The sequence below is a fragment of the Homo sapiens genome, chromosome 2 (genome assembly GCF_000001405.40).
Source record: "Homo sapiens chromosome 2, GRCh38.p14 Primary Assembly".
NCBI lineage: Eukaryota > Metazoa > Chordata > Mammalia > Primates > Hominidae > Homo > Homo sapiens.
In genome coordinates this window covers 65,763,230-65,777,022 of record NC_000002.12, presented here as the reverse complement: position 1 = coordinate 65,777,022, position 13,793 = coordinate 65,763,230, and the positions used below count along the sequence as shown (strand labels likewise).

At 41.2% G+C, this 13,793-nt stretch overlaps 1 annotated feature.

The window, feature by feature from the left end:
- Nucleotides 2,688–2,956: a silencer, noted in NCBI's record as "fragment chr2:66001201-66001469 (GRCh37/hg19 assembly coordinates)". NCBI's record gives its function as "represses an EF-1alpha promoter that drives an FKBP-Casp9 reporter gene in an ReSE screen in HepG2 liver carcinoma cells {active_cell/tissue: HepG2}" and the evidence as "EXISTENCE:reporter gene assay evidence [ECO:0000049][PMID:32094911]".

Here is a 13,793-nt window from a genome sequence, read left to right as displayed (position 1 = left end):
CAACTATGCCACTGGTTCTCAAAGCGCAGTCCTGGGCCAGCAGCAGCAGCATTCCCTGAGAACTTGTTAGAAATGCACATTCTAGGGCCACACCCTAGATCTACTGAATCGGAAACTCTGGGGATGAGGTCCCGCAATCTGTGCTTTAACAAGCATGCTAGGAGAGTCCGATGCATGCTTCGATTTGAAACTACCTACACCATGCCGTGGTTCTGCTGGTTTTTGAAATCTTCCCTATCACTTTGCATTTGAGTCTTGGTATGTCTTTGGGGTTTTGACGTATTACAACCCCTGTGTGCTAATAACAATCAAGCAAAAGGTCGTTTCTTCAGATAAGGCTGAAAACATATTATCCCTATAACTAAAAATGCATTGCTTTTATCTTCTCCATACCAGAGGAGGATAGCAAAACAACTGATGCCGCCGATAAGATGGAATGCAAAGGAAGAACTTAACTGGCTTTCCAAATCAAATTGTTTATATGCTATGGGGTTATAAAGTATAACTGAGCTGCTGCAGGCATGTGCTTTATACCTAGGAAACGATCATTCTCCTAGGCCTAAGCACAGAACAGATTTCTATGAAGGAATGGAAATGTTTCCCCAGAAAATTCCCCAGCATGGCAACAACAATGATGCATCATTTCTTTTTCACATTCAGAACCACAGAACTCCAGTGCTTCCCCAAAGCAGGTCTCTGTGGCTGCCAGAAATAAAAAATATATATAACCCTAAAATAGAGACTAAATGCAAGTCAAAAAATGGAAGAAAAGATAAGCATAGTACCATTTTTCTACTTATTGAGCCAAAAATAATAGTATCCCATTCTGTTCAATTTATAGTCTACTTAAGACTCGCTTCGGTCCTTACTTTATCTGACCCAATACATTCATCCTCACTAAAGCCTCCACCCCATACTCACTCTGGCCAGACTCCAGTCAAGATATTTTATAAGTTGAAAGTGTGATAGGCTCTTGATGACAGCACATATTTTCCTGCATCTGCACTAAATTCAAACCATTCTTCACAGCCCTACTAGACATGAGCAAAGTTGCTTGTAGCCAGTAGGTGTCCTTTGATTACATTTTTAGAATAGCCCATGAATAAAATAGAGTTGGATTGCCAAAGAAAGCCAGTAACTAAATATGACAGTTTGAATATATCAGGAGAATTCTAACATTTTATCTGGAGAACAGTCTCCCCTGATGTCTTTGGAAATTATATGTTATATTCTGATTCCCGATTTTGGATAATCCAAGAGTTGCTTTAGGCATTGAAAGATACAAGAAAGCAACACAAAAGCACAGTAACACTTAGAGTAAATGAGCAAGCATGTGTGCATGAGCATGCACACAGACACCAGCACATGCACGCGCATGTGTGCGCACACACACACACACAAACACACACACACACCATGCAAGACCAGGAAAGAAAGCGTCAGTGGAAGAAAAAAACCAACCTCACAGTCTCTTGATATACAATCTTCTCTCCCTGAGTTTCAGCCTTTTCTCTAAAGCCCAAGCTTCCTCCATGGTTATCTTCAGATATTTAATTAATTTGCACCCACGTCCCCAGAACTCATTCCTTAACTTCCATCTGAGCCTGGCCCCAGAGAATCAAATACATATTCACACTCTCAGAAGCTGGAGATCTTACCATATTTAACAAGAAGCATCTCTGACAGTAATTGGAGTTTTGTATCAAGGTAAATAAATGGTAAGATCATAAGAACATACTCCAGTGGCCCTGTGCATCCTGGAAATGCTAACATCAGAGAGCAAATTTAACATAAGGCCTCGGTGGAGATGAATTTTCTATAAACAAACAATGTGAAGAAAGCCTCACTTTTGTCATGTGTTATTCCCATTGAAGAAAAGATGAATATTCTGTTTCATATGTTTGTTTGTTATATGTTTGTTACCAGAAGCTGCTGCTTCATTTATTTAATAGGAGATTTTTCACTTCCTCACTGTGTAGACTAAGTTATCATCATATCTTGGCCAGCAGTGGCTTTTAATGCAAATTGTCCAAATTATTAAATGTGCTGTGATGTTAACACTTCAAAAGTGAGTCAGTTTAAAGGTAGCTTTTTTCTTTTATCCACATTGAATAAAGGACCCAGCTTTCTCTAAGGACTAGAAAGCTTTCTCTTAAGACAGGGTTTCTCAACCTCGGCACTCTTGGTATTTGGGGCTGAATGATTTTTTTATCTTGGGCTGTTTAGACAGAATAGTAGCCCCCACAAATTTGTCCCTGGAATCTGTGAATGTCACATCACATGGCGAAAGAAATTCAAGTTTGCAGATGGAACTAAGGAGGCTAATCCTTAAAATAGGGAAGTTATCCTGGATTACCTGGGTTGGCCCAATGTAATCACAGTGGCCCTTAGACATGCAAGAAGGAGGCATAACAGATGGTCAGAGAAATGTGATCATGGAAGAGGCAGGAGAGATTTGAAGCACGAAAGGGACTGGACTCAGGATTGCTGGTTTTGAATATGGGGGCGGGGGCCCCAAGGCAAGGAACGCGGGCAGTCTCTAGAAGCTGGAAATGGCAAGGGAATGAATCCTCCCCTAGAGCCTCCAAAAAAAGGGAGTCTTGCTGACACCTTGATTTTAGCCTGGTGAGCCCCATGTCAGACTTCTGACCAATAGAAGTAGAAGATAACAAACCTGTTTTGTTGTAAGCCACTAAGTGTGTGGTAATTTGTTATGGCAGCAATCATTAAAGACATCCTTGTGTTTAAAAATGAATCGGGGCTCTCCTGTGCATTGTAGAGTGTTTAGAAGCATCCATAGACTCTACTTGCTAGATGCCAGTAGCACCCTCCCCCTGGTTATGACAATCAAAAAAATGTCCCAGACATTGCCAAGTGCCCCCTGGGAGGTGGGGTTTACAGGGGCAATCACCCCCAGAGAACCACTCCCTACGACTACCAGCCTTATTTATTTTCAGGATTATATTCTCTTCTAACCATTAGGACATAAATACATACTCAACCTCAAACTTTTGGGTCAAATCATTTTAATATTCAAATATAGTGCAAAAAAAGTTATTTATATTTTGAAAAATATTAAAGAAATAGTTAAACAGAAAAAATATTATATCATTCATGATTACACTAGAAAAAATGAGCCTTGCTCTACAGGAAGGCAAGAGAGAAGGTGTGAAAGATACATGGTTAAGGTCAGCTCCAAGTAGGCAGTTGGCCCATTACCAATAATGATAAAAATAATAACTTTAATAAAAATAACTAAGGGCTTAATATCTATTACTTCATTTAATCTCCAAAACTATTAATATCCCCATTGTGAACCATAACTCAGGGGTGCTGAGACATTCTAGTCGTTTGCAAGTTACTATAGCCTTTACTTCAGAGGTGGAGATGGGGTGATCTTGCTATCTAGGGTCAGAAAAGATGGAGTGGTCATTCTAGGAAAGGAGGTCCACCTCGCCCCTGTGTGTACTGAATGTTCTATAAATATTTGGAGGTTGATGGGAGAGTGATGAGACCCACACACACAAATGTCAGAAAGCAGCTGTTTGTCTCAGTCTATTCAAATACTAAGACTCTCCCTATTTAACTGGGTATTCTAACAAAAACACACACAGAGAGACCTTGGGAAATTCTTTAAATGAGAATTAACTATGAAAACTCATGATGATTCCTTAAAGTCAAGGTTATTCCCTTCTCCCCCACTAAACCCATGTTACTGTTATCCCTGGATCAGCCCCAGGAGCTTTTAAAAATTGTGTCATGGCTGAGGGCAGTGGCTCACACCTGTAATCCCAACACTTCGGGAGGCCAAGATGAGAGGACTGCTTGAGCCCAGCAGTTACGAGACCAGCCTGTACAACATGGTAAGACCCCATCTCTACAAAAAAAAAAATTTTTAATTAGCCAGATGTGGTGGCAAATGCCTATAGTCCCAGCTACTCAGGATGCTGAGGGAGGAGGATCACTTGAACCCAGCAGGTCAGGGCTGCAGTGAGTCATGATCATGCCACTGCACTCTAGCCTGAGCAATAGAGCAAGACCCTGTCTCAAAAAAGAAGAAAAAATTAATGTGTCGCAGGGACATGCAAGCAAGATATCTAGAGGAAATCTCCATCATCATCTGTTCCCTGACACTGAACAGTCCTTAACTTCACAGACTACATGTTCCTTTGGTCTTCCATCATCACTCTCTTAATATTGAACAAATGGTTTACCACAGACCCAGCTTGGAACTTGTTCATGGTCCCACTTATGCCGAGAGCTTTCCAAATGACCCATCGGCCTTTCCCATCCCTAGACACCCTTTTGAATGGCCAAAGAGTCAAGCTCAGATATGGACCAGTTCTTTCTTCGGCTCTCTTGGAGCATGGCCCGTCTCTGTAGAGCCACCTCAATAAAGAATTATTCACTGGATGAACTGCAAATCCCAAGTCTTCCTGATGTTGCCTTATAGGAACAGCTGTTTTGATATGTGTTTCTTTCATTTGTGGGAGATTCAGAAAGGGACATGGATGACCTGGGGAAGGTGGAGAGCGAAAGCAACTGCAAGGACAGCCAGTAATCCTGCCTGCAGTGGACAGTAACTACATCACATCCACATTATCCATAAAGGACCATTCTGCCAACGCAGATTATTTTCTTTTCCAGCTTTGCAATATCTGGTTCACTTTAGTATCATATTAAATGTAAGAAATCAATGCTAGACCCTTTGCCTTTGCAGAGTCCAATGTCAGGAATATTTCTTGCTGCTTTACCTGAATTTCCCTTTCCTCTGCTTTTTAATTTTTTTTAAATCTTGCTCCAGGAGGTAATAAGCCCCAGGGTAAGGAGACAGAAAGGCAACACTGCATCAGAAAACATTTGGATTATATTTTATCGACGTCATACTAACAGCACCCGCAAAATGAAAGGTAATTAATTAAATGGATTGTATGATGAAGCGGTTTATTGCCTTACACGGAGCTAAAGAATTGAATGCCAAACCATTTCTAACATCCAGTCAGTAATTAGGGAAAATAAAATGCAACTTCACATTGAGCAAAAGCACCTAAACTGCTGCTGGGATGACAGGCCCCACCAGAAACTCGTTTCAGTGGCTGGAAAGCCAGTCTGCCACCCAGTCTCGATGCGTTTTCAGCAGGACCAGCACTGATTGTTCAGCAGTAAGTTCTGCTATAGGCATCAAAATGACAGGAAGGAAATGCAGGGCAAGAGGGGCATAAGACCTCACTAAGAACTAGAACACTGCGAAATTGGGAGGTTCCATAGCCTTCACCTTTGGATCTTTTCAAGCTAAGCTAACAGGTCCTAGGTGGGCCCTGCAGGGGCCATTGCTATAGTTCACTGGGGCTAACGGGAAGAGAAAAGAAAAGAGCTAGAGGCAACCTTTCTGTCCCCATTTTACAGACAGAAACTCAAACCTATGCTAAAGATGGATTGTTGATTATTTTTATTCCTGGAAAAAGGAAAAAAATTAAAAGTAGGGTCAACTGTCTGGGGGAAGTTCATTCAACAAACATTTATTTAGTACTTCCCATGTGAAAATGAGGCCAAAAAATTGACAACAACGTGTAGAACATGATCCCTTTGTTGAAGTAAATAGATATTTACACAAGTAACTACAATACAACTCAGAATTAAATGCTTGCTACAAGAGAGGTACAACCAAGTGCTCCCATGCCACCCACAATGATTTAGGGATCAGGAAAGGTTTCGGGAAAGCCACAGAAATTGAGCTGAGCCTTTTAGTCTGACAAGGATTATAACTGAGAAAGAGGACATAGAAGGGCACCCCAAGCTGGGAGCACAGCTGGAAGCAAAGACTCAGCAATGCAGGTGGACACAGCACATCTGGGAAGCAGATAATGCTCCCTCTGGACTAGAAGGAAAAGTGAAAAAGGAAAATGATGCTCCCTGATGTATATTTCAAGCAAGCAACTAAAGCTATGCTGGCACATAGTGGGCACCCAATCAACAGTTTTTGAGCATATAGTGTGCACTCAATAGTGGGCAACACACCCAAGGTGACCTCCAATGAGTCACACCCCCGCAAAATTCTCTCTCCTTGTGTTTGAGTGGAACCTGTGACTTGTTTCTGATCCACAGAATATGCTACAGGTGACAGGATGTCACTCCCTTTATTAGGTTACATTATAAGTCTCAGGCTATTATGCCTATGATCATCCTATAAGCCTATGCCTTAGGCTATTATGCCTATGATAGGCTATCATAGGCTATTATGCCTATGATAGGCTATCATAGGCTATTATACCTATGATCATCCTATATGCCTATGATCATCTGATGCCTATGATTATCAGACAGGAGACAGAGGTTCCTTTGCTGGCTTTGAAGAAGTAAGCTGCCATGTTATAAAAGGGCTGTAGCACAAGGAACTGCCTCCAGGCAACAGAAAAGAAGAAAAGAAGATGAATTCTGCCCACAACAAGAAAAGAAGATGAATTCTGCCCACAATCTTAAATGGAGCACGTAAGCAGTTATTTCCCCAACAAAACCTTGGATGAGACCATGGCCCCAGCCAACACCTGTATTAACGTCTGGTGAGCCCCTAACACAAAACCCAGATAAGCCTTGCCTGCACTCCCAGCCCGCAGAAACTGTGACATAATAAAGGGGTGTTTTTTCAAGCCACTAAATTCATGGTAATGTTTTATGCTGCATAGAAAACTAATACATTGGGTAAATAAACATTGAAAAGGGTTGACATTCAAAATCAGAGCAGAGAAGGCATTGGAATCATGCTAGAGAAATGGAATTCCTTCAAGGAAGAGTAGTTATAAAGTATGGCACAATACTCTGTTTTCTTTTTGACAACTACAGATGCCTTATTAAACAAGCTAACATCTGTAAAGTGCTCAGATGATGCCTGGAACATCATGAATGCCATAAGTATTAACTTACTATTGTTGTTACTGCTGTTATCATTATTTCTTGCCATGAAGACATTTCCTCAAGAGAAATAAGTTGCTCTCCTTAGAAACACCACTCTCCTAGGATGTGGAGAAATAGGAATGCTTTTACACCGTTGGCGGGAGTGTAAATTAGTTCAACCATTGTGGAAGACAGAGTGGCGATTCCTCAAAGATCTAGAACTAGAAATACCATTTGACCCAGCAATCCCATTACTGGGTATATACCCAAAGGATTATAAATCATTCTACTAGAAAGACACATGCACACATACGTTTATTGCAGCACTGTTCACAACAGCAAAGACTTGGAACCAACCCAAATGCCCATCAATGATAGACTAAAGAAAATGTGGTACATATACACCATGGAATACTATGCAGTCATAAAAAAGGATAAGTTCACGTCCTTTGCAGGGACATGGATGAAGCTGGAAACCATCATTCTCAGCAAAGTAACACAGGAACAGAAAACCAAACACTGCATGTTCTCATTCATAAGTGGGAGTTGAACAATGAGAACATATGGGCACAGGGAGGGGAACATCACACAACAGGGCCTGTCAGGGGCTGGGGGGCTGGGGGAGGGATAGCATTAGGAGAAATATCTAATGTAGATGATGGGTTGATGGGTGCAGCAACAATACACATAGTATACACATAGGCACATGTATACATATGTAACAAACCTGTACATTCTGCACATGTATCCCAGAACTTAAAGTATAATAAATAAAAAAAAAGAAACACTGCTCTCCTTAGGTCTTAAGCTTTTGAGAACTTTGAGAATCCAAAGAAAATTACGTACTAACCACCATTGAGAAAAATGTGCAATTCAATGTGTGTGTGTAGATATATATATATACGTGTGTGTGTGTGTGTGTGTGTGTACACAACATTTTGCCTACAGTTTCAAGGGGCGCTCAGATGAGAACCAATGTCCTAAAAGAATATGGAGAATGTGACACATTAAGGTAGGAGGGAGAACCCCCTGAAAACCTCAAGAGACAGTATGTTTCAGACCTCTGATTTTGCCCTCCTCTCTGATGCCAAAACGTTTTGACTGTCTTCCTTGGCCAGTACCAGTTTTAAGTTTAAATACCACGGAACACTGTCCAATCAGGTGTTGTTTCCAAGGTAGAGATTATCCTCACTCTCAGCTCTTTTAAGTAATGAATGATGGATGCCTCATGCCTCCAGACTCATCACTGGTAAGACCTACAACACACCTGGTCTTCCAAAGCCAACCACAGCAAATTCTCCCCAGGCTTCCTACATATCCTATGGGCCATCTACGGAGTCTAGCAAGGCCGTGTCAATAGCCCCGTGAGTTCCACCCTTCTCATGAGGCACTGCTATGTCTCAGCTCTGGTGAAGATGGCAAATGAAAACTAAGGAGTTAGCTCAATCTCATAAGAGTCCACAGCACACAGTTGTGGTCAAAGTCTCCCATGCTACAATGAATGTATTCATGTTAGTCCAGTTATAAATGCAAGTGTCAGAGGTCACCTGATTCAGTTTATCTGTTTCAGTTGACAAGGTTGTATTCCTGGGATTGCAAGGCATTTCCAATTAAACTAGAATTTTAGCTTCCTGCCTGGGAAAGTTTTTTTAATGGACATGGAAATATGATGAACAATCATGTGGACCAATGAACAAAATATAAAGTGCATGGAATTAGTGAAAAGTGAAACTCATGCTTCCATTAACACATTCTATTCAGTCATTTGAAATACATATTATATATGTGTATATATGTATGTATGTATGTATGTTACATTCACACAGTGGCTTGAAATTAATAATCAAATTTGCACGTCATTTTTAATTAAATCCACATCTTTCCTGTCTCCCAGCTGTTGGCCCAGTGTTTATGTGGACCACATCTGGCAGCCCTCAGCATTCTCCACAGTCACCCGTCCTCTCTGTCCCCAGATACACCTGCTTTCTGCAGCTGGTCCACCAACAGGTGCAGCGGAAAGCCTGGTTGATGGGCATTATAAACACTCCTGCTGTTGAGCATATGCGAGGTTACAAAGGGCCCAATTCTAACTTCAGTGTTTCTTCCTCCAGGAGAAGTAAAAAACACCCTGTGTGATCTGAACATGCTGGAGTCTCCATCAGTCACTTTCCCACCCTGGGAAGAAATGCTTTGGGTCAACTTGGTGTTAACAGCTGTGCCACCTTCCAGGTTATTAGCAAAGGAAGAGAGAGCTGGGCCTTGGTCATTCTTAGTTTGTCTGAGATTCTAGGCCCTCAGCCAGTGGCCTGGACACTCCATCTCCATTTGCCCTAATGAACAAGGTACAGTTCCCCTCATGGTCCCCCAGTTTGTGACCATTAACCACCTGGATTTGATTGGGGAGCCAGCCAACCAAAGCGTCCCACAGCACTGCCAAATGAAAAACATGTGGGAGCAACACATATTGTGAGAATTACTATTTTGCAATTCCTTGTTGATAGAGTGGTAGGTATTTCAAAGTAAGAAAAGTTCAGAATAATCTTCAGGGTCTTTTGGATTTGGTTTGGTTATTTCCTAGACCCTGAAGTTTGGAAAGGGGTTCAGATGATTTTTCCTGTGATTATCTGAAAAATATCTCACCCTATAAGGAAGCATCCATGCAATTAGTCCAGATATAAATACAGGCTCTAAAACTATGCTCCGTAGCACCCAGGTTAATGGACTAATGCAATAAAGCAATAGGTTACAATAAGAAATTCCAATACAATTAAAACCATAAAGCTAATGATGATCTATTTCAAATGAAGCTCTAGGTAAAAATAAAGCACTAAAAGTCACTTATTCATTAAACAGTTTTGGTTCCACTCGCAGAAGTTCACAGAGGGCATTAGTCATCTAAAGCACAAGATGCACTGGAAGTTAAAATACATAAAAATGGCCTCCATCCCGCTTTTTATTTCTGCGTTCTCACCTTCATGCCAATGGACTACTCCCCACGTGCCTGTAAGGCAGAGTTCAAGCACCACTTCATTAGAAACTTCTTGTAGTTTTGTGTATCTGCATTCCAAGCCACTATACACAGCCCAGGAATTAAGTTGGTCACCTGAGATGCAGAGGCTAAGTCAAGATCCAGATTACTGTTAGCTGCAGTGATGGCCCCCACTTGCTTGAAAACACTATTGCATCACACTGTGATCTTTAAAGGACCTTAGGCTTCATGCGGGGACTCATGCCTGTAATCTCAGCACTTTGGAAGGCCGAGGCAGGCAGATTCCTTAAGACTAGGAGTTTAAGACCAGCCTGGGCAACATGGCAAAACCCCATCTGCATAAAAAATACAAAAACACTAGCCAGGAGTGGTGGTGTGCACCTGTGGTCCCAGCTACCCAGGAGGCTGAGGTGGGAGGATCACTGAGTTCAGGGAGGTTGAAGCTGCAGTGAGCCATGATCATACCACTGTACTCCAGCCTGGGCAACAGAGTGAGACCCCACCCCACCCCACCCCCCAAAAAGGACTTGAGTTTTCCCCAAGTAGTTCTGATTACCCTGGGTAAATCTAGTCCCCGCATGAAATGACAATTCCATTTCAGCTTCTGTCATTTGTGTAAAAACCGTTTTATTCTTCTTGTGGCTTTCTTCCACTCAGAACTTCTTTCTACTATTGCTGCAAATTGAAAGAGGTAGACGCTGGAGATGAAGGGACCTACCCATCATCAAAACACTTGAGAGTTATGTTCAAAGAGCAAGAGATAGAAGTTCAAGAATGAGTCTATGATATTTCTAAAGGCAATACGCTCATGAAGGAGGAAAATGAGGTTCTACATTCTTAGTGTCTGTTGCCTGTGTCTCTGGGTATAAAAGACCAAAAAAAGACAACCACATCCAATTGGAGCTTTCAGCAGAACATATCCATTGGCAAGTGAAAACTCCATATGTGGTTTTCCTTTGATAAAGTGGTTTGTAATTCTTGTCTTTTATAGATATTATCCACCTAAAACCTTAATGCTTTGACAAGAAACTCATGGGGGGAAAAATGCTGCTTGCTCTCTTCTCCTTGTCTGTGTTGTGAGTCAAAGACAAAGATAAAGATGTTACCAGAAACTGGATTCATACATTTAGCCAATGTGTTGAGACTAGGAAGACCAGAAAGCAAGAGCTGCTTCCATGTTATTCTCGCTGTCATGGGTCCATTGCTGCTACGCTGGGTTTTGTCTCTTATGGCTCCAGATGCACTCGCCACCTTTCCCCTCCCTCCTCTGTGCCACAAGAGCCTGACGTACATGGGCTACACTTGGGGCTCCCTGCCCCACTAGCTTCTGATTGGCTTGGCTTGCAGAGACACTAACAGGAGGTGGAGAGGGAAAGCAAAGTGGTTATTCTCTTCCACTTCTTCCTGCCACGTGCCTCTGGATTGGCTGTGTGTTCTAATCAGGTACCCGGGATTTATTTTAATCAGGTGTGGTTAAGGCATGCAGGCACGGAAATAATTGTTGTGACAGAAGTGTTTATACTCACAGCTCCCTAGAAACCACAGATGTGGCAGGCCATAAAGGAGAGTTATATGAGAAAGCACCAGGGTCACTGAGGAGCCAGAGAGAGCTGGGGACACATGGGCAAGAGTTTTCATTGTGGTTTCCACTGGAAGGCTCAGGAGAGGCAAGGTGAGCAAGTTTAGAATGGGCTCATTTGAATAATTTCAGTGGGCTCTGGGGCATAGGAGCCATTCCTAGTTGTCTGGTACCTGGCCCTAGAGTAATCATGTGAGGGGGATGGTGGCCTGGAGTGTAAAAGCCCAGTAAAGGGGGTGGTTGGAGTTTGGGCTCTGGATGGGTTGGTTTGCATAGAGAAGATGTACTCCCTGTTGAATTGCTTGCCAACTCCAGGAATTGCTAGCCCTGGGAGAGGGAATCTCTCGAGGGTCAACAAGGCCTCATGCTGTCAATGCATCAGAATACAGAAAATAAATGCCTGCTTAATGCATTGCATTTCTTTACTAGGCTTCAGCTTATATGAGACAGCCCTCTCCAAGGGACATTACCCATCTCCCCACCCTGCTTTTACCCCTTACCTCGACCTCAGGGTGGCAGCCACCCCCACTGTTTCTTCCCTGTGGTTGGTTTCCTTTAACTCTGCCTGGCACCTTTGTAAATAGTGCCTTTATTAAACTCAACTTGAATTCCTAATTTAACTTTGCCATTTATTTTCTGCCAGCATCCTCATCAATACAATCAAAATCATACCTGACAACAAATTTCTAAGCCAGTAAAGCCTGGATTTAGGGAACCTAAAAAATATTTCTTACCTAACAACAAACAGTATAGAAACAGAATGTCAGAGTGTAGGTGTGCAAGCCATAGGAGTTCCTGCCTACTTTCTCATTCCTTCAACAATATTCAACAAGCTTCACGTGCCAGGTATTGCTCTCAGAGGAAGTAATGCTATTCTGGCTCTTAGGCAATATCTACAAAGTACCCTCAGTGGCCTCCGTATTGCAAATGCTATATGTGGTCTTTGGTATGATTGTTCAATGTAAGACATCAGGTAATTCATTAAATTAACTTGTGCTGTGGAAGGCAGTAGAAAGAGAGGTTAGCAGATTTAACAGTAGCATCACATTATATATCTGTTGTTCTCATGTTTGGCTGTAAATCAGAATTGCCTGTGAGCTTCCTAAAACTACAGATAATCTGCCTCTACCATCAGAGAGTCTGTGTGCCCCAGCTGAGAATGTTTTCTGTTTAAAAAAAAAAAAAGAAAAAATCCCCTATAATGAATATCAGGTGGGAACTGCTTTCTCCTATACCTGAACAAGTCTTCTCAAACTTCAATGTGCACAGCAATCACCAGGGAGACTTGTTAAAATGCAGGTTCTTATTCATTATGTCTCGGATGGGGCAATGCGGCTGGTCTTTGAACCACACTCCAGGTAGCAAGGTATCTATACCATAGTGTACTCAACCAATTTCCTATTGTTGGATATTTAGGTTCTTTGCAATAGTTTGCTATTATAAATAACAATGCAATGAACATCTTTGGATATACCTATTTGTAGAGATTTTTGAATAATTTACAGTAGCCCCATAAAAGAAAAATTATTGAGTAAAAAAGGATGTGAACTCTTTTTAAGTTCTTAATACATATTGCTAGATTGATTTTTATAATGCTGATGTGAATTTACATCCCAAACAGCGATGTCTGCAAATGTGTTTCACTGTATCCTTATCAACATTGAAGAATATCTTTATTTTTGCCAATTTGGTAGGTGGAAATTGTACTTCATTTCAATCTGCATGTCATTATTAGTGAAGCTGACCTTTTTATATTATATTAGTCATTTACATTTCTTCTTCTGCAATCTGTGCCCTTTGTTGAACCAGTCTTAAATTATTTCCTTGTCAAATGTTTTCAACTCAGTCTATCATTGATTTTTTCCTCTCTTTATGAGGCTACATCTCCAATTTTATAATTGAAGTAGGAGGGAAAAATAAAAGCTCCCTTAAAGAATTTCAGTGTATTGCTAAGTTGTGAAAACATATTTCTATACTGACTTCAAGGAAGAGCTTTTTCTGGTCCTTCAGACAAAGAGATTTAACCATAAAATTGGAACCGGATACTTTTTCTTTGCTATAACATTTTTGTGTTTCAACTTGTAACAGGAAAAGGCAAATTAATTTATCTCATTCATTGAGGGATGGTTGTTTGCTTGGCAGTTTCCAAATTTTTTTTAAAAAAAAAGGAATAAAGGAAAGAAAAAGAAATAGAGATAAAACTCTCATCCACAGTTCTCCACACAAGAATAAAATAGCCACACAAAACCAGAGATATCACAAACATTAATACCACTGTATATATGTATGAAATGCCACAGCCACAAAAAAACTAAATTTAAAATACAGTAAGGA